We start from the raw sequence: 22803 nt of genomic DNA on the forward strand, positions 1-22803 counted from the left end.
ACTTAACATGCAAAGCAGTACAAACTGATGAGACAGAAACAGAGAGTTCAAACTGACAATAAATTGGTTTATTTAACAGGATAAAAACATTCAATCTGCTTTAACTTGTAAAGTTAATTATATTATTATATGTTTTACTTTTTTCCTGCATCAGAAGCACCCATCCCATTTTAACAGGGCACTTGCCTTCATAGACGGCATTCTAGGAAAAAAAGCAAATGTTTTCTCTCACCATCTGGAAAATGTTACAGCATTCCCTACACTCATGAGAAGGGAGAGGCTTTTTCCTGTGGCTAATGATCTGTGCTCTTGCTATGGGGGCCTCCGAAGTCTAGAAGGAAATGAAAGAGGAGACCGGTCTTTTGTGTGGAGCAATGAATAAGGTGTGGCAATATGTCTGGAGGTGGGGGAGTAAGCGAGAGGATTGATAAATGACAATTACTTCACCCAAGGGGACTTATCCAAGAAGCTATTGTCCTGTAACTCATAACATGCACTGTGAATGAAGGGAGATATCCATCATTGCGAAGGACATTATTGCAAGGGCCATGACCTGCACTGTGCTGGAGTCATTGCCAGTTACACGCATACTCTTTGTGTGAGTGAGAATATCCCATTTTTCATAATACAAGTCATGCAGCCTGTCCTAGCTGGGACTCCAGTCTATACAAGGAGGAAACTCTGCTCCATTCATGCCAGCACATCACCAGCTAATTGCCCTGTGGTAGAATCCCACTGTGCCATGAGACTTTGTATTCTCCCCATTGACCACACCCATGCATGCATCTTTTGACAGCGCCATGGAACATCAGAAAGACCAAGTTCTAAAGCAGGATAGTAAAATGACCCTTATTTATCTTATAGGTAATTCAGTCTGAAGACATTAAAAAAAAAATCCATGCTTTGCACAGGCTGTAAGAAGGTACCCACTATCAGGATCCACCTTCACCGTTACAGGACAGAGACAGAAACAATTGCAGTCTCCCACCTTGCTCAAGAGCATTAGCAGGAGCTTGCGTTGGAAAGGTCAAAGGAGGAAAGAGGGATGGCAAATGGAGAGGTCAAGGAGACCAGAGAATGGACCTCCGTATTCTCCCCTAACACTGACTCTGAGTAAGGTGAAAGGTGAAAATGGCAAATATTATTGGCTCTTTACCCAACAGCTATTTCCTCTTTACCAAGGTAACAGGTTCCTGATATTGTTCAGTTGTTGGGCAGCCTTGTGCTTCAGGGAAGCCTGGACTTCTTACCAACCCCAGAATGAGACTAATTTGATCTTTGCCATTTATGGTAATTCTATTTCTCTTGCCATTAATTGGTTTGAGAATGGGTATATGATGCACTTTTAATCAATGAGATTTGGGGGTAAGACCACCAGGAATTCTGGAAATTCTTCCTTTCACTTAAAAAAAGAGACCTAAAGAATAAATAAACTATTTTCCTTCCTTTCCTATATCTTGATATACATTAAAGTTGTTACGCCTGGAACTGCTACAATCATCTCATAAGTGTAAGAGGAAAGCTAAGAGATTTATGAAGAATTTAAACTCAGGCAATAACGAGCCACTCAGTTAACCAATCCTGAAATGATCCTATTTTTAGCTTTTCGTTAGATAAGAAAATTTATCTTTTTTATTTTTAAGCCAATTTTAGTTGGGTTTTTTGTTATATCCAGCCAAAAGCATACCAAGAGAATCAATAATCTGATGGAAAATTTAAAAAGTTTTTGGATCATGTCACAGACTCCTTGTGGATTCATAATCAGCTAAAAGTTATATTATTTTCTTCCTGGTAATGGACTATAGCTACACCCCCTTTCACATGTTTCAGAAATTACAGAAACTATACATTGTGGAAGAATCTTTCTGTAATTATAAGCATACTTTTTCTTTCAACATGATTAATATGAGGAATAAAAGCGAGGAAAGAACCCCTTCTAATTAGAATCTGAATGCATAAAATAGATAAGAAAATAAAAGATAATGTGAATTCAAATTCAAAACCAAAAGACAGAAATACCCATTTCCAGAAATGGAAAGCAAACTCAAAAATCAAAGACATGAGCAGAGCTTTGCTTAAAAATATCAGAGTGCTATGAGAAGCAGGTACAGGCCCTAATGGCTGGATATGGGAGTTGGCATGCCTGTACCGAGAGGGTACCCCAGGACACAGGTCCTATTTATACAGGGAACTAGAGCTGAGATACTTGCAACAAACCAGGACTCCTAGGGACTGGGAAAACTCTGCCCCGACCAGCTAGGGGAAGCAGCAAGAAAACTTGCTATATATCCAGGGTTGAGGCTAGAAAAAATTAACCTTGGAAATGTGAACCCATCACTATGTGAATGAACAGGTGTGAATTAACACCACTAGTATGGAACAGAAACTCCTGGTGGAAAAATCAACTGACTTCAAATGAGTGAAACTCACAGACCCTCAGAAGAGACAAAGTCACCCAGTAGAGATACTTCATATCTCCAAAACCCAGACTACACACAGAAATCAGTCTCAGCTAAAGATGAGCCCCTGGTTGGAGATTCAAAACATGAAAGGAAGTGAATTGCTGGATGAGGAGTGAAATGCTGCAACCAAAAGGAAGAATTTGCACACTAATAAGAACAAATAGAATTATCTGAAAAAGACTTTATTTTTAAGATGTTTAAATAGGTAAAAAAGGAAATAGAAAAGATAAAACAAGCACAAAACAGTATGAATAGTACAGGTTTGAAAAATGGGAAAGAATGAAATGGAAATCTGAAAATAAAAATTATAACTCACTGAAAGAAAAGATCAGCTAACTGGTTGAACAATAGCGCATATACCCATGAGGAAAAATGTACATATTAGAATATAGATCCAAGGTAATGACCTAGAATATGGAAGAGAAGAAAAAGCAAGGGAAGTTAAGGCAGAAAATAGGAAGACAGCATCTAATATATGTCTAATGGAAATTCTAGGGAGAGAGAGTAAAGTGAATATATGATATCTAATGTTAGAAGAGAAAATAATCAAGAATTGTCCAGAATTGACAAAAGTAATCAATTCTAAGATTCAAGGAGCACCCTAAACTCTAAATAGCACAAAGAAAAACAAGCTTACATATAGAAGAATCATCATAGTTAAACTGCAGAATATCAGAAACAGGTAAAAAATTTTAAGGCTACCAAAATTAAAAGACATATTTCTACAAAAGAATGATTGTTAAACTGACAAAAGACAGAGTCAACAATAATAACTAATATTTGTTGAGTAATTGCTGTGGACAAGACATTATTGTAAGCATGTCTTATTTAGTGTTCTCAACAATCTAATGAGGGAGATACTTCTGCTATTCCTATTTCAGATAGATATAGAACAATGGGAAAAAGACAATGGAATAGTGTATTGAAAGTGGTGAGTCATAAATGATTCTTCCAATAATGCTAACTCCTGCCAAACTTTTATCAAGCATGTAGCTTGGAGGTTGGTTGTTTCTTTCCTGACTGATACATTTGATAGTCCATTTAAAGAGTTTTAAATAATAATGCAAAATATGCATTCAGTGTAACCATGTAAGGAGTATTATATTGTCATAACTTCCTCAGAATTACGTATATGGTCATTTTGTGTGTGCAATGAAAAGGATAGAAAGTGCTGGAAAAGCTATGTTTTTAACCAATTTTTCTTTTGTTTTTTACTGCCCACCCAGATTGAGTTAAAGGAGCTGTGGAATAAAAAAAACAAAAACAAAAACAAAACAAAAAAACAGGCTAAGCTAGGAAGGTGAGTCCTTTCAAAATATTCTTATAACACAAACTATAGATTCTTATATCAGGGAAAAGAGCCCTTTAAGTATTTCAAACCAAAGGAATCTAATACAAGGACTTGCTTACAAAGGTAATAGAATAGCTAAGGAACCATGTAGCATTATGAGGCAACCCTGAATTTAGTGAAAGCAAAGAAGCCACCACCAACCTAGGAATGGAGTGAGAAAAGCATCAGAGCTCAGGGGGCAAGGTCACCTGATGGGCTTGCATGGTGGGAACTGAGGCCATGGAGGTAGAGACCAACCTGAAGGAACTGGAGCCACACAGATAATGTATCTAATATGGATTGAGGTGGGGTAGATATGCTGGATCTTATCCTTCCCCTGCTCTCCCCACTTCCATTAGAGTCTTCCCTTAGCTAAACCCATCTGGAATCAGAAGGCAACAGAGGCTGGAAAATGTAGTTTCCTGCAATACACAACCAGTTAGAGAAGGACAGAGAATGGATCTGAGAACAGTCGAGTGATGACAACTCACTGCAATCTGTGAATTGAGTAGAGATGCTGTAATGGCTTTTAGTCTAAGGACAGACTTGTTTGGTGTCACAGGCCTGTTCAATCCCTGCTCTATTCTTTAACTCATCCAACTGCCTGTGTTTCTCCACTTGAGCTTGGTAGTCAGTGTTGGCTTGAAAATGGCGCATGCATTTTGTGTGTGAATGACTAAGCTGACTCTTTTCATGCAAAGGCACTGCTTCTTTCCAATGATAGCCCTGTTCCACAAGCTCTGCAAGATGGCAACTTCATTTAGGACTATCAATCTATTGAGCTTTTTGGAATACAGATGTCCTCTTAAATCTGCTATGCCTAGAAGCTAATAGTGGAATGTAAAAATAGCTTTCGCTGTCTGCACGGCTTTTCTTATTTGTATTCTAAGTAAAATCACTTAGGCAGACATAGAAAGCTCTTCTTATTTGCATTCATTTTGCCTACAGAAAATGTACAGTTCACATGACTGGTCTGCTTCAAAGAAATAATCAAAATACAAATTGCTTGAACTATAAAAACAGGAGCTCGGAAAAACTAGGATAAGGAAAAGACATTAGGATACATTTTAAACATAAAAGAAAGACGTTTTCTGCCATGGCTATCTTCAACTTACATCTCCAAAGCATAAGGAAAGGGATTTTGAGAATTACTTGGTTTGCAGAAGCTTTATTCTTTCCAAAATTTTATTTTTGACCGTGTGAACTAGAAAAGATGCCAGTGTCAAATCTCTGTTTTCATTTGGAGTACATAACCAGAATCTAGAATATGATTTTTCCTGAATCACAATAAAGCAATATTTGGTAATCAACTTTATTTACCCTCAAAAGAAACACCTTTGAATAAAGAATATGCAATTAATCAAATGAAAGAAATGTTATTTTTATTTAAAATCTGTCATTGACTATAATAATAAATGTTAGCCAAAATGTTTATATTTGGTTCATCTTCTCTTAGCTTTGATAAAGGTTTGTATTTTAATGAAATATTACAACATTAACTCTGGTGGGCATTTTTGGTGATAGAAAATATATTATTTTCAGTGGTGATACAGTTAACTAACCTGTCCAGAATTGGGGTAAATTTTATAAACTGCCCTAATTTTTAAGAACTTTAGTGCTATCAGTGGGCAATGATTTTGACTTTCTGAATTGCTTGTGTTTATATTTTCTACTTAATGCTCAGTACATAGTTAGTGCCAATTGATCAGTTACCTAAGAAAGCTTTGTCAAGTGAGAGAGAGAGAGAGAGAGAGAGAGAGAGAGTGTGTGTGTGTGTGTGTGTGTGTGTGTGTATGTGTGTGTGTGTGTGTGTGTGTGTGGTATATTTTATAAAGAACATTAGCACCCTCTTCTGGGTGACTTTTGATTCTGTAATGGGAATATTCTGACAATCTTTTCCCATTTTCTAACAATGAACAGTCTGAATATTCATTAAATTTGCTCCTGATTAAAGCACGACCTCTGAGTAATTTAATTATCCTGTATATTTCAGAAACACTGATAAGTGCTGGAGTCAAAAACATTTCATTGCTAAATGTTACCCACTGGGAATAAGTGTTTGGCTTATGAAAAGGAAAAAAGTGCTTTTTCTACATTTCTTAGGATAAGTGCCTCCAATGACTTTTAAATATACAGAGCTATGCAAGAAAGAAGGAACACAAGGGCAGACAAGGAGAACAGACTGGTACATTCTTCTCCCAGCTGTCTAGGCTCAAAGAAAAAATGTATCCCCTTGCATGCTTTAATAGCAGGCACTGACATAATTAAATATTCTTTTGTTAAATTAGATTTCTTTACAAAATCAAATACCTTTTAAATCAAACTCCCTGGAGTCCCCCAGATACTCCTTTTATTGACATCTTATAGAGCTGATGTTGGAGGTGTGATTGTACTTGTTTGATCCATTTATTTACTCATTCATCCCTACATTCATTCTAGAAATATTTAGTGAGCACCTACTGTGTAGCAGGCACTCTTCTGGCACTGGAGGTGCAGTGAACAGATTCAGGTTCCTGACCTCATGGAGATTTTATTTCTAGTGATATGATCATAAATTCTATATAGAAATATGAGACAGAGTGAAGGAGATAAGAATCTCCTAATCTAGATGCAGGGGGTAGGTATTTTATACCAAGTGGTCAGAAAAGTTCTCATTGATAAAGTGACATTTGAGCACAGACCTGAAGTGAGAGTTTAAACCTTGTAGGTATTTGGAGGAAGAGCATTCCAGGTGGAAGGAATAGCATATGCAAACCCTCTGAAGCAGGGCCCTTTATTTGCTGTAAATACTTGAAATGCTGTACGGGGCCTCAGGATGTCACAGTAGTTGAGAACTTGCTTGAGCTTTGGAATTCAAAACTTGGATAAGATTTTATATATTACCAATTTACAAATGATTTGTAATCTCTGAGCCTTTATTTTATCACCTACACAATATTGATTTATACAATTTTCTTCTTCCCAGCATTATCGTAAACATTAAATGACATAGTATAGGCAAAAAGTTTAGCATATGGGCTTCATACTTGGGTGATGGGATGATCTGTGCAGCAAATCACCATGGCACATGTTTACCTATGTAGCAAAACTACACATCCTGCACATGTACCCCTGAACTTAGAAGTTGGAAAAAAAAAAGTTTAGCATAATACCTGACATTGTGCTGAGTTCAATAAATGTTAGCTATTTTTAGGGGAAAAATGCCTCTCTAAGAAACAAATTTTCTGCAACATTTAGACATAAAATAGATCATTAATGTTAAAATGGATCCAAATTCAGTCTTCTAAATACTATTTGACTATTATTACATAAGAAATGTTTTTTTTTTCCTGTCTGGTCCTGCACAACTTGCTTTTCCTCTATGAACCTTAGGTTTTGCAAATTAGGAAATTAAATAAAATCAGGGATGTTCAATCTAAAGCCTCCAAGTAGGATGACAGCTACTCCCCATGTTTTAAAATCCCTGGGTGAAATTTTAGACTTACTTCTGGTAAGGATAAGGAAGAACTCAACTATCAGGCTTGCTTAGAGCTGAATTATGAAGCATAAAGTTCAGTGGTTAGGGCGTCTCTGCCTATGGAGTGTGCTGAGCTGGGCAAGGCACTATCCCAAAAGGTCGCCCAGTGTATGTATACCTGAGAGTGTTGCTTTCCCCAAATTGTTGGCTTGAGATATTTTCAAAGGGCTCCGTCATCCAGCTCTAACACTTGGATGACCACTGGTCTGTTTCCACTGGATTAATTCTCCTTCCAATCCTTCTTTCCCAAACCTCATTTCTTCCCTTTCTGCCTCTTAAGGGAAAGGCATTTTACCCGCTCTCTCAGCGAGTCAGCCTAAATACCGTGAGGTGAAGGGTCAGAACACTGGGAAGTGCAGTTTCTGACGAAGAAGGAGCAGCTGCAGAGAAAGGAGTCCATCTAGGGCCATTTCCATCATGAAGAGAATGTGGCCAAAACATGGGGCAGAGAATCAGGAACCCAGGTGATGCCTCATATGGTGTCTTCCTTGGTGTTTGAATTATTTAACACAAGCTGCCTCACCCACCTTACAATGTAAGTAGGATTAAACAGAGCTGGCCAGAGCACTGAAGGGATACCTAACTGCCCAGGGGAAAGGTGATGCACAGAGGGGCCTTGGGATTGAGAGCTATTAAGTAGCAGTTCCAGAAAGGTCTGTTCCAAGAAATGCCACAGCTTGTATTAAAAACTCCCTCCTTGTTCCCTGCAGAATTCATCAGACCCCCAAAACCTGTTAATGCTGATTCTGCAACTTACCAAATGCTGACTTTGGGCAAGTTTTTTTAACCTCTCTGAACATGAGGCTCCATTTATAAAATAGGACTTGCAATAAATACCTCGCAGTATTGCCTGGCACTTGGTATGGCTTCAGGACATGGTAGCAATTGTGATGAAGATACGGGTGAAGTGTGGTGGTTGCAGGGAACCTAAGTGTTTCTCAGATTTTAAGGTGCCTTCTAGCTGGAAGACAGTATGCTAATTTGGGTAAGAGATGCATAAGTATGAATTACAAAATATAATAAATGGACACAGAGAAGGTTGAAAGAGTGAGAAATCAGATATTTTAGATGCTACAGAATCGAGGTGTTGAGAAAAAATTAATCATGCAGTTGGTAATCAGTACTCATTTGTTCATTCTGAAGTTTATATGTGTGTTCTTTTAGCTTCTCTTTGTGGAGTTCTATCGATTGTTGTGGAAACTGTTTGAGACAGTGACAACATAAGATATGTGAAATAGATGCTCTGCAACATTTGAATTGAAACCAAAATCCATTGTGCTAATTAGTTATTGGAATCTTGGCATAATTACACATGCTCAAGGGACATTCACTGATTACGTTAGCTGTCTCTCATGGCTGCTATCATGTGAGTATTAGAACAAATCCCATTTTGATGAGAATTAGCTCTGCATTTGCAGTGTGAAGATATGATAACATTGTCAACGCATAATTGTTAGCTCTGTGTTAGTGACTCAGTTTTTCATCCTCAGTTTTGTTTTTTTTACCTATCCCTATATAATATTCAGTTGCTGTCAAATGAAGGAGAAACTGGGAAGTAGTTGCCTTAAATTCTGTGTAATTTGCCTTCCCAAACAAAAGTAAATAAATATATGATTTTTAAAATTCTATTTAATGCACTTTAAGATTATGTAACAAAACATTTTGCACATCAGTAAGGAGTTCAGGGAATGTAAGACGCAAAAGGCCAGAATATCTGTGAGAATATGTTCAATCACTCGTATAACTAAAGACATGGAAAATCAGAAAACCAAGAGATCATATTTTCAGCTATCAGAGTGAAAGAAGTTTAAATATGTGATAAACCCTAGAAAATGAAGCTATGGAGAGACAGGCACTTCTATACAAGATTGCGATAGTGTAGTCTTTTTGAAGGGGAGATGTGGTGATATTCATCAATATTTTAAAAACACTTACCCTTTGTCCCAGGAATTCCAATGCTAGGATTTTTATTGTCTATATTCTTACATAAATTCTTAAGCTATGTGGGCAAGGATGTTAATTGGAGCTAAGCTATGAGGATGCAAAGGTATAAGAATAATACAATGGACTTTGGGGAATTAGAAGAAAGAGTGGGAGGGGGCGAGGGATAAAAGACTACAGATATGTGCAGTGTACACTGCTCGGGTGATGGGCACAACAAAATCTCACAGATCACCTCTGAAGAACTTACTCATGTAACCAAATACCACCTGTACCCCAATAACTTATGGAAAAATAATTACAACAAAAATGGAAACAACATAAGTGACTTCCTGTAGGGAATCATAAATAGGACATATATACGTGTAATAAGGTAACATTCTGTAATGTCAGCTTTTTTATTTTTTGCTTGAATTTTTTTCAGCTGGTATATTGATTGCATGCCTTGCTTTGGGGGATGAATGACACAGCAGAATGCAAATAACACATAAATAGAGAATGTCTGGCTTTTGAGTTCCAAAAGCCTAGACTCTGACATCAAGAAAATATTTGGAAGCTTGAACAGTGAATAAGAGAAACTTACCTACCTGCAACCATGGATTAAAAATTCCCTGGCCCAGAAGGGTAAGGAAGAGGGGAGAATAGGGAGAAGTTAGTTAACAGATACAAAATTACATATAGCTGGGAGGAATAGGTTCTAGGGTTCTATAGCATTGTAGGATAAATATGGCTAACCATAAATCATTGTATATTTTCAAAAAAGCTGGAAGAAAGAATTATGAATGTTCAGACCACAAAGGAATTGTAAATGTTTGAGGTAATGGATATGCTAATTGCTCTGGTTTGATATACATGTATCAAAATACCAGTCAGTATCTCATGCATATGTACAATTATTACATGTCAACTAAAAATACAAGGAAAATAAATAAAATAAAATAAAATAAAAATAAAATTATCCAAGATCTCCACGCCTGGGGCAATTATTCATTCCTAACAGGACTGAAAAATAGAAACTAGCCTTTCTGAAGTGCCTGCTATATACCAGGCACTTTTACATATCCATATTTCATTAAGGGAATCCTCACACAACTTTTTGGGAGAGAGCTCTTACGAGTCCCAGTTTTAATGATGTCTGAGAACAAGTCTAAGGTGACATGGTCAACATGTGGTTAGTAGGTGCCATAAGTGGAATCCAAATTTTGGTGTATTTTACACAAAACATTTTCTTTAATTGAGGAAAACTCTATAAGCTAGGTATGATTTTAGCTTAAATTTAAAGATGAGGAAAATGAGTCTCACAGAGACCAAGACTGCACAGTCAGAAAGTGACAGAGCCAGAATTACAACTCAGACTGCCTGTAGAGTTCACGTTAACCATGATGTCAACCTGCCTACTCAGACTTTTGGTTCAAGATGATGTGCTGAGCATGTGTTTAAGCTTCTGATCCATCCTATGGACCCATTAAATTAATGTTACTCATTATAAGTATTTTTTTGGCTGTTTTCTTTTTTTTAGCTATGGAAACTAGTATTTTGATAAAGACTTAAAAGTAAATAGAAGCATAACACTTAAAATTACAATAGAAACCACCAAAAGAACAAAAATAAGAAACTGTTAAAAGTTGTGGTCTCTGGGGAGTGGGACAGAAAGGAAAAATTTACTTTTTATTTCACATATTTTGAACTTTGTACTACTGGGTACATTTTCTGCATCTATATTGTTTCGTTCAGAGAAAAAAATTAAAGAAAGCAAAAATAAAACAAGGAAATTGAAGGACGAAAGAAGAAATAAATATGCATGAAATTCCACACAATAGAATATTAAGCAGCTGCCCAAAAGATGGGGACAGATTTATTGTCCTGCCACGAAAAAGTCTCTAAGACATATTGCTAAATAAAAAAATAATCCTGGTATCAAAAAAAAAATCCCTGGGTTGGGAGAAGAGGAGTTAGAAGGAAAGCATATATGTGCCCCAGAAAGGAGCCTTCAATTTAAGACTGAATTCAGGGGTTCAAGAGTGGGAGGTAATGAAGTCTGAGAGAAAAGAAAACTTGCTTCTTGTTTTTGCCTGGAAAATGACAAGATCCACAATTTTGGCAGTGTCCTGACATAATGCTGAAAGAATAGAGTAGGAAGAGCTGTGTGGTGTAACTAAAATCTGACAGAGCTTGCAAGATTTCCCCCAAATCCAGCATGGCAGAGTAATTCCCTGTGTCTGAGAGCAACGTAGACATATCAAAGAGATCTGCAGGTTCTGACAGGACTGAAATGCGATCCCGGGATGATCAGCAAAGATCTACGTAATCAGTGACCGAGGACCAGATAGGACAATACACACCTCTGCATCCGTCTGCTTGGAAAGACAACAACCAAGGAGAAGATGCCATACTCATGCCCTATACCCTCTGTTCTATATAAACCTCAGGTAACTCAGACAAATGCCATGAAGGAAAACCCTGAACTCACACAGATCACGTTTTGACTACTCAGGAGAATAGAATCCTAAGATAAAATCAGGTTGAGTAAAAGAAAAATAAAGGCAATTAAATGTCTTCCATACTTGAGTTAGTGAAATGAGATAGTCTCTATCAATTTAATAGATACATAATACTCCATGGTATGGGGGTACCATGGAGTATTATGTATCTATTAAAAATAAAGAGGCAAGTAAATATACTCTGATATAAAAGATCTGCAAGATAAATTTTAAATTAAAAAAGACAAGGTGAAGAACAATTTGAATAATGTGTATTCTATTTGCAGAAAAATGCTATGTGTTCTAAATGTTTCAAGGATATGAATGACACAGTCAACTGTGAATTTCTCTAGAGACTGAGATGTTTCATTTCATATTATTTTATAAAGGTTTCTTATAAACTAAAATCACGTATTCCTTTTATAATACATAATAAAATATCCTTCTTGTCTTTACATCATGTTTAGTGATCCATTACATTGAATTTGAATTCCATTTATGAAGCATTTATTTCTATAATTTCAGAATAAAGGATGAAAACATTGTGTCTTAAATATTTTTTGGCTGTAGCATAAATCTGCCAGAGAGAATTAATTTCGTTTTCTTTTTTCAGTTACAAAGAGTGTTACACTGCGCCTTTAAGGAAAACTTTCCTTCATCATTCCTGTAAGCGTGGACATGCAACTTCTCTCACCACAAAGGTACAGAAAACATTTCTAAAAATGTGCTGATAACAGAACAAGGAGGCATGATTTGAAAAGCTGCACAAAATCCTGCGTTTTCATACCCCCTAGCATATGGTCATGCATGCAGTTAATGGACACTGAGCAAATCACCAGAATTTATATATGCAGATAAGAATGGTTCCATTCAGGCTGGGCACAGGGGCTCATGCCTGTAATCTTAGCACGTTGGGTGGCTGAGGAGGGCAGATCACCTGAGGTCAGGAGTTCAAGACCAGCCTGGCCAACATGGTGAAACTGTCTCTACTAAAAATACAAAAATTATCCAGGCATGGTAGCGCTCGCCTGTAGTCCCAGCTACTTGGGAGGCTGAGGTGGGAGGATTGCTTGAAATGGGGAGGTGGAGGTTGCAGTGAGCTGAGATTATGTGACTGCACTCCAGCCTGGGTGACAGAGTGAGACTCTGTCTCAGAAAAAAAAAAAAAAAAAGAATAGTTCCATTTTTCTTTTTCAGTTATTCTAAACCACTGAAAATATTTGGCAAGTCCATTTATAGAACTGTTTTTAGAGTTTATGGCACATTCTTTTGAATGTTCAGATGCCAAATAATCACCATTTGAGGGTGGATTTAAATTTTAATAGCAGCTAAAGGCCATTTAGAGTCAAGTATGGTAAATAAGAAAGTCACTCAATTTGGATAATAAATTCACAGTAAAAAAAAATACATATATAGTAACTACAAAACATGATTGTTCTCCAAGCTCTGAAGGAAACAATGTCATATCCTCCAAAACAAACTCTTGAATGTTTTAAACAACTGTAGCATCATTTGGACAACTGCATTGCCTTCCTAAAGACTACCTTGAAATAATAATTTTGATGAATAAATCCTAGTCTGTTAAAAATAAGCCTAACTGATTTATAGCAGCATTCTATATATTGTATTTGTTTAAAAATATTGATGTATAAGATTTTTAAATAAAAGATACATGAAAAAATGCTTATCATCACTGGCCATCAGAGAAATGCAAATCAAAATCACAATGAGATACCATCTCACACCAGTTAGAATGGCGATCATTAAAAAGTCAGGAAACTACAGGTGCTGGAGAGGATGTGGAGAAATAAGAACACTTTTACACTGTTGGTGGGACTGTAAACTAGTTCAATCATTGTGGAAGTCAGTGTGGCGATTCCTCAGGGATCTAGAACTAGAAATACCATTTGACCCAGCCATCTCATTACTGAGTATATACCCAAAGGATTATAAAACATGCTACTGTAAAGACACATGCATATGTATGTTTATTGCGGCACTATTCACAATAGCAAAGACTTGGAACCAACCCAAATGTCCAACAATGATAGACTGGATTAAGAAAATGTGGCACATATACACCATGGAATACTATGAAGCCATAAAAAATGATGAGTTCCTGTCCTTTGTAGGGACATGGATGAAGCTGGAAACCATCATTCTCAGCAAACTATCGCAAGGACAAAAAAACCAAACACCGCATGTTCTCACTCATAGGTGGGAATTGAACAATGAGAACACATGGACACAGGAAGGGGAACATCACACACCGGGGCGTGTTGTGGGGTGGGGGGAGAGGGAAGGGATAGCATTAGGAGATATACCTAATGTTAAATGACGAGATAATGGGTGCAGCACAACAACATGGCACATGTATACATATGTAACAAACCTGTACGTTGTGCACATGTACCCTAAAACTTAAAGTATAATAATTAAAAAAACATTTTAAAGCTGGTTAATACTTTAAATCAGCACTTTTAAAACTGTAGGTCAAGATCTACTAGTACGTCGTGAGATCAATTTAGTAGTTGCAACCAACATTAAAAAATTAGAAGAGAAAATAACAGACTACATCATAAGCTGCTGCACTATTATTTTATCAAAATTGTTTCAGTTAAACAATTTTATGATATATTATGTATTTAGTGAAAATTTATTGAGCACTGAGTACGTGTTAGACCAAGGTTTTAGACAAGGGTCTTGCAATTGTGGGAATTTCAAGCCAGATAATTTTTTATTGTGTATATGATTGGTGGGGAAGGGGGTCTGTCATATGCATTATAGGACGTTTAGCAGCATCCTTGGTACTATGGGCCGAATTGTGTTCCTCCAAAATTTGTACGTTGGAGTCCTAATCCCTAGTACCTTGGAATGTATTTGGACACAGAGTCTTTAAAGAGGTAATTAAGTTATGTATAATTTACATATAATTAAGTTATAATGAAAGCATTAGGGTGGGCCCTAATCCAATATAAATGGTCTTCTTATAAGAATGGCCCAGACAGGAACAGAGGGAAGATCATGTGAAGACACAGGGAGAAGATGGCCATCCATGGAAGAGGCCAAGGAGAGAGGCCTCAAAAGAAACCTGCCTTTAGACACCTTGATCTTGGACTTGCAGCCTTCACAACAGCGAGAAAATACATTTCTGTTCAAGATCACCAGTCCATGGTACTTTGTTATGGCAGCCCTTGTTGGTTTTTACCCACTGGGTGATAGTAGCACACCTTCCCCTGTCGTGACAAACAAACATCTCTCCAGACATTACCAAAAATTCTCCTGGGGAGGCGGTCAAATAACCTCCAGCTTGAGAACCATCACCTAGACATATCTGATTGTACTGCTAATAATATTTAAGTGAGTTTCTCATTGTGTGTTGCTGTCAAAAAACTTGAAAATTTCCAGCTTTCAACCCTGCCACAACACTCTGGGACATAATGATTGGGTGGCAGATGTACTAAGATATTGATGATCCTTTAGCCTGAATAGCCTAGAAAGACGGTATCCCTGGGCCTGCCATGTCAGGCCTTGAACCAGTTATGCCAAGGTACTACACAAATACAAATTTTATGTATGCTGTGAAGGAAAAAAGGCTGAGTAATACTGATTTATGATACTCCCTTTCACTTTTTAGATGGGCAAAATGTGAAGTAACTTAGTTAAATAATCATTTGCTATCATTCATTCCATCAGTGGCAGAGGTGAGATTAATAACTCATGACTTGAGGAGGAGCCAAGATGGCCAAATAGGAACAGCTCCAGTCTACAGCTCCCAGTGTGAGCGACGCAGAAGATGGGTGATTTCTGCATTCCCAACTGAGGTACCAGGTTCATCTCAATGGGAAGTGTCAGACAGTGGGTGAAGGACAGTGGGTGCAGTGCACCGAGTGTGAGCAGGAAGTGCAAGGGGTCAGGGAATTCCCTTTCCTAGTCAAAAAAAGGGGTGACAGATGGCACCTGGAAAACCGGGTCACTCCCACCCTAATACTGCACTTTTCCAATGGTGTTAGCAAACGGCACACCAGGAGACTATATGCCGCGCCTAGCTCAGAGGGTCCTACGCCCATTGAGCCTCACTCATTGCTAGCACAGCAGTCTGAGATCAAACTGCAAGGCAGCAGCAAGGCTGGGGGAGGGGCGCCCGCCATTGCCAAGGCTTGAGTAGGTAAACAAAGCAGCCAGGAAGCTCCAACTGGGTGGAGCCCACCGCAGCTCAAGGAAGCCTGCCTGCCTCTGTAGGCTCCACCTCTGGGGGCAGGGCATAGCGAAACAAAAGGCAGCAGAAACCTCTGTAGACTTAAATGTCCCTGTCTGACAGCTTTGAAGAGAGCAGTGGTTCTCCCAGCACGCAGCTGGAGATATCAGAACGGACAGACTGCCTCCTCAAGTGTGTCCATGACCCCCGAGTAGCCTAACTGGGAGGCACCCCCCAGTAGGGGCAGACTGACACCTCACATGGCCGGGTACTCCTCTGAGACAAAACTTCCAGAGGAAGGATCAGGCAGCAACATTTGCTGTTCACCAATATCCGCTGTTCTGCAGCCTCTGCTGCTGATACCCAGGCAAACAGGGTCTGGAGTGGATCTCCAGCAAACTCCAACAGACCCGCAGCTGAGGGTCCTGACTGTTAGAAGGAAAACTAACAAACAGAAAGGACATCCACACCAAAACCCCATCTGTATGTCACCATCATCAAAGACCAAATGTAGATAAAACCACAAAGATGGAGAAAAAACAGAGCAGAAAAATTGGAAACTCTAAAAATCAGAGCACCTCTCCTTCTCCAAAGGAACGCAGCTCCTCACCAGCAACAGAACAAAGCTGGACAGAGAATGACTTTGACGAGTTGAGAGAAGAAGGCTTCAGATGATCAAACTACTCTGAGCTAAAGGAAGAAGTTCGAACCCATGGCAAAGAAGTTAAAAACATTGAAAAAAAATTAGACGAATGGCTAACTAGAATAACCAATGCAGAGAAGTCCTTAAAGGACCTGATGGAGCTGAAAACCACGGCACGAGAACTACGTGACGAATGCACAAGCCTCAGCAGCCAATTCGATCAACTGGAAGAAAGGGTATCAGTGATGGAAGATCAAATGAATGAAATGAAGTGAGAAGAAAACTTTAGAGAAAAAAGAATAAAAAGAAATGAACAAAGGCCTCCAAGAAATATGGGACTATGTGAAAAGACCAAATCTATATCTGATTGGTGTACCTGAAAGTGATGAGGAGAATGGAACCAAGTTAAAACACTCTGCAGGATATTATCCAGGAGAACTTCCCCAGTCTAGCAAGGCAGGCCAAAATTCAAATTGAGGAAATATAGAGAATGCCACAAAGATACTCCTCGAGAAGAGTAACTCCAAGACACATAATTGTCAGATTCACCAAAGTTGAAATGAAGGAAAAAATGTTAAGGGCAGCCAGAGAGAAAGGTCGGGTTACCCACAAAGGGAAGCCTACCAGACTAACAGCAGATATCTCAGCAGAAACTCTACAAGCCAGACGAAAGAGGAGGCCAATATTCAACATTCTTAAAGAAAAGAATTTTCAACCCAGAATTTCATATCCAGCCAAACTAAACTTCATAAGTGAAGGAGAAATAAAATCCTTTACAGACAAGCAAATGCTGAGAGATTTTGTCACCACCAGGCCTGCCCTAAAAGAGCTCCTGAAGGAAGCACTAAACATGGAAAGGAACAACCAGTAACAGCCACTGCAAAAACATGCCAAATTGTAAAGACCATTGAGGCTAGGAAGAAACTGCATCAACTAATGAGCAAAATAACCAGCTAACATCATAATGACAGGATCAAATTCACACATAACAATATTAACCTTAAATGTAAATGGGCTAAATGCTCCAATTAAAAGACACAGACTGGTAAATTGGATAAAGAGTCAAGACCCATCAGTGTGCTGTATTCAGAAAACCCATCTCACGTGCAGAGACACACATAGGCTTAAAATAAAGGGATGGAGGAAGATCTACCAAGCAAATGGAAAACAAAAAAAGGCAGGGGTTGCAATCCTAATCTCTGATAAAAAACATACTTTAAACCAACAAAGATCAAAAGAGACGAAGAAGGCCATTACATAATGGTAAAGGGATCAATTCAACAAGAAGAGCTAACTATCCTAAATATATATGCACCCAATACAGGAGCACCCAGATCCATAAAGCAAGTCCTTAGAGACCTAGAAAGAGACTTAGACTCCCACACAATAATAATGGGAGACTTTAACACCCCACTGTCAACATTAGACAGATCAACAAGACAGAAAGTTAACAAGGATATCCAGGAATTGAACTCAGCTCTGCACCAAGCGGACCTAATAGACATCTACAGAACTCTCCACCCCAATTCAACAGAATATACATTCTTTTAAGCACCACACCACACCTATTCCAAAACTGACCACATAGTTGGAAGTAAAGCACTCCTCAGCAAATGTAAAAGAACAGAAATTATGACAAACTGTCTCTCAGACCACAGTGCGATCAAACTAGAACTCAGGATTAAGAAACTCACTCAAAACCACTCAACTACATGGAAACTGAACAACCTACTCCTGAATGACTACTGGGTACATACCGAAATGAAGGCAGAAATAAAGATGTTCTTTGAAACGAATGAGAACAAAGACACAACATACCAGAATCTCTGGGGCATATTCAAAGCAGTGCGTAGAGGGAAATTTATAGCAGTAAATGCCCACAAGAGAAAGCAGGAAAGATCTAAAATTGACACCCTAACATCACAATTAAAAGAACTAGAAAAGCAAGAGCAAACACATTCAAAAGCTAGCAGAAGGCAAGAAATAACTAAGATCAGAGCAGAACTGAAGGAAATAGAGACACAAAACATCCTTCAAAAAAATCAATGAATCCAGGAGCTGGTTTTTTGAAAAGATCATCAAAATTGATAGACCGCTAGCAAGACTAATAAAGAAGAAAAGAGAGAAGAATCAAATAGATGCAATAAAAAATGATAAAGGGGATATCACCACTGATCTCACAGAAATACAAACTACCATCAGAGAATACTATAAACACCTCTATGCAAATAAACTAGAAAATCTAGAAGAAATGGATAAATTCCTGGACACATACACCCTCCCAAGACTAAACCAGGAAGAAGCTGAATCTCTGAATACACCAATAACAGGCTCTGACATTGAGGCAATAATTAATATCTTACCAACAAAAAAAATCCAGGACCAGATGGATTCACAGCTGAATTCTACCAGAGGTACAAGGAAGAGCTGATACCATTCCTTCTGAAACTATTCCAACCAACAGAAAAAGACGGAATCCTCCCTAACTCATTTTATGAGGCCAGCATCATCCTGATACCAAAGCATGGCAGAGACTCAACAAAAAAAAGAGAATTTTAGACCAATATCCCTGATGAACATCGATGCAAAAATCCTCAATAAAATACTGACACACCGAATCCAGCAGCACATCAAAAAGCTTATCCACCATGATCAAGTGGGCTTCATCCCTGGGATGCAAGGCTGGCTCAACATACACGAATCAATAACAGTAATCCAGCATATAAACAGAACCAAAGACAAAAACCACATGATTATCTCAATAGATGCAGAAAAGGCCTTTGACAAAATTCAACAGCCCTTCATGCTAAAAACTCTCAATAAATTAGGTATTGATGGGACGTATCTCAAAATAATAAGAGCTATCTATGACAAACCCACAGCCAATGTCATACTGAATGGGCAAAAACTGGAAGAATTCCCTTTGAAAACTGGTACAAGACAGGGATGCCCTCTCTCACCACTCCTATTCAACATAGTGTTGGAAGTTCTGGCCAGGGCAATCAGGCAAGAGAAGGAAATAAAGGATATTCAATTAGGAAAAGAGGAAGTCAAATTGTCCCTGTTTGCCGATGACATGATTGTATATCTAGAAAACCCCATCGTCTCAGCCCAGAATCTCCTTAAGGTGATAGACAACTTCAGCAAAGTCTCAGGATACAAAATCAATGTGTGAAAATCACAAGCATTCTTATACACCAATAACAGACAGAGAGCCAAATCATGAGTGAACTCTCATTCACAATTTCTTCAAAGAGAATAAAATACCTAGGAATCCAACTTACAAGGGACGCGAAGGACCTCTTCAAGGAGAACCACAAACCACTGCTCAATGAAATAAAAGAGGATACAAACAAATGGAAGAACATTCCATGCTCATGGGTAGGAAGAATCAACATTGTGAAAATGGCCATACTGCCCAAGGTAATTTATAGATTCAATGCAATCTCCATCAAGCTACCAATGACTTTCTTCACAGAATTGGAAAAAACTACTTTGAAGTTCATATGGAACCAAAAACGAGCCCGCATCGCCAAGTCAATCCTAAGCCAAAAGAACAAAGCTGGAGGCATCACGCTACCTGACATCAAACTATACTACAAGGCCACAGTAACCAAAACAGCATGGTACTGGTACCAAAACAGAGATATAGACCAATGGAACAGAACAGAGCCCCCAGAAATAACGCCACATATCTACAACCATCTGATCTTTGACAAACCTGACAAAACAAGAAATGGGGAAAAGATTCTTTATTTAATAAATGGTGCTGGGAAAACTGGCTAGCCATTATGTAGAAAGCTGAAACTGGATCCCTTCCTTACACCTTATACAAAAAGTAATTCAAGATGGATTAAAGACTTAAATGTTAGATCTAAAACCATAAAAACCCTAGAAGAAAACCTAGGCAATACCATTCAGGACATAGGCATGGGCAAAGACTTCATGTCTAAAACACCAAAAGCAATGGCAACAAAAGCCAAAATTGACAAATGGGATCTAATTAAACTAAAGAGCTTCTGCACAGCAAAAGAAACTACCATCAGAGTGAACAGGCAACCTACAGAATGGGAGAAAATTTTTGCAATCTACTCATCTGACAAAGGGCTAATATCCAGAATCTACAATGAACTCAAACAAATTTACAAGAAAAAAAAAAACCATCAAAAGTAGGTGAAAGATATGAACAGACACTTCTCAAAAGAAGACATTTATGCAGCCAAAAGACATATGAAAAAATGCTCATCATCACTGGCCATCTGAGAAATGCAAATCAAAACCACAATGAGATACCATCTCACACCACTTAGAATGGTGATCATTAAAAAGCCAGGAAACAACAGGTGCTGGAGAGGATGTGGAGAAATAGGAACACTTTTACACTGTTGGTGGGACTGCAAACTCGTTCAACCATTGTGGAAGTCAGTGTGGTGATTCCTCAGGGCTTTAGAACTAGAAATACCATTTGACCCAGCCATCCCATTACTGGGTATATACCCAAAGGACTATAAACCATGCTGCTGTAAAGACACATGCACATGTATGTTTATTGCGGCACTATTCACAATAACAAAGAGTTGGAACCAAGCCAAATGTCCAACAATGATAGACAGGATTAAGAAAATGTGGCACATATACACCATGGGATACTATGCAGCCATAAAAAATGATGAGTTCATGTCCTTTGTAGGGACATGGATGAAATTGGAAATCATCATTCTCAGTAAACTATTGCAAGAACAAAAAACCAAACACCGCATATTCTCACTCATAGCTGGGAATTGAACAATGAGAACACATGGACACAGGAAGGGGAACATCACACTCTGGGGACTGTCATGGGGTGGGGGGAGGGGGGAGGGATAGCATTAGGAGATATACCTAATGTTAAATGACGAGTTAATGGGTGCAGCACACCAGCATGGCACATGTATACATATGTAACTAACCTGCACATCGTGCATATGTACCCTAAAACTTAAAGTATAATAATAATAATAATAATAATAATAGTAAAACAAACCATCATTCTGAGCAAACTATCGCAAGGACAAAAAACCAAACACCACATGTTCTCACTCATAGGTGGGAATTGAACAATGAGAACACAAGGACATAGGAAGGGGAACATCACACACCGGGGACTGTCGTGGGGTGGGGGGAGAGTGGAGGGATAGCATTAGGAGATATACCTAATGTTAAATGATGAGTTAATGGGTGCAGCATACCAACATGGCACATGTATACATATGTAACAAACTTGCACGTTGTGCACATGTACCCTAAAACTTTAAGTATAATAAAAAAAAAAACAAACTCATGACTTCTATTAGGGATTTACCATTACAGTTTTCATTTTTAGAGAGTTGTTTCTTAAGGACAAAAAAAAAACCATTTTACAAGGATGGTTACTCAACCTAAGTTTTCTAGAATGCAAAGCCTGAGGCAAAATTTACATGCCACCGCTGAATTGGGGTATGCAATTTTAGGACTGGAACAGTGGGGAAAGGGAAGTGAGGAAGAAATAGGTGGAAAAGCAAATACAAAGTGATACATGACCATGCTGGCCACAGCTTGCCAGAAAGCACAGCTGGTTGGTTGGTCATGCAAGGCTTTTCTTGAGAGACAAAAAGAATCATTGCTCTGAGGCCCAATGTGCTTGGGAGTGGTAGGGAGAGAAACCATGAGGAAGTTATCTAGTGGCTTCTTCCTTTGTCTTTTTTCCTGGTCAAATTTTGCTCCATAAGGCATTAACTCCCCTGCACTTCTAGACTGTGATACTGTATCCTTCCAGGACACTGATGGTGAGAATAGATCCTACTTTCCACAGGGCAGGGTGTTACCTGGGCCCAACAGTGGTGGAAATGTGAGTCCACTTAGGTGGACTGAGTGCTGTGGTCCTCCCTGTGGCAAGAGTGATGGGGACCGTGCCAAAGCCCAGCCCTAGTCCCACAGAAGACAGAGGCAGCCACCAATGTATGGAGACAGTGGCCAAGCAGCCAAAGTCCAGAGCCAAGTAGGTCCAAGTATATCCAAGGAAGCACAGACACAAGGTTCACTACAAATGATATGGATTGCCTAGCTGAGTTAGAGACCACCGTAACTCCAATGGTAACACTTATGTTGGGCTCACAGTCAGAAGATCTGACCCAAGGCAGGTTTGACTGCAATACACCTTCTCTTTTCTCTGGGTCTCCATTTGTTTATTTGCATACTAATAAAATTGGATAAG

The 22803-nt window shown here is 38.6% G+C and overlaps 1 protein-coding gene across 1 annotated transcript in view; it reads left to right on the forward strand.

Annotated features, from left to right (window-relative positions):
• The window catches only part of SYNPR (synaptoporin), a 416321-nt gene that overhangs the window by 39552 nt on the left and 353966 nt on the right, over nt 1-22803 (forward strand). The window contains exon 2 of the mRNA XM_017005731.1: nt 12344-12431. Coding sequence (XP_016861220.1) covers nt 12344-12431 — 88 coding nt within the window. The remainder of the gene's footprint in view (nt 1-12343; nt 12432-22803) is intronic.

The sequence above is a fragment of the Homo sapiens genome, chromosome 3 (genome assembly GCF_000001405.40).
Source record: "Homo sapiens chromosome 3, GRCh38.p14 Primary Assembly".
Taxonomy (NCBI): Eukaryota; Metazoa; Chordata; class Mammalia; order Primates; family Hominidae; genus Homo; species Homo sapiens.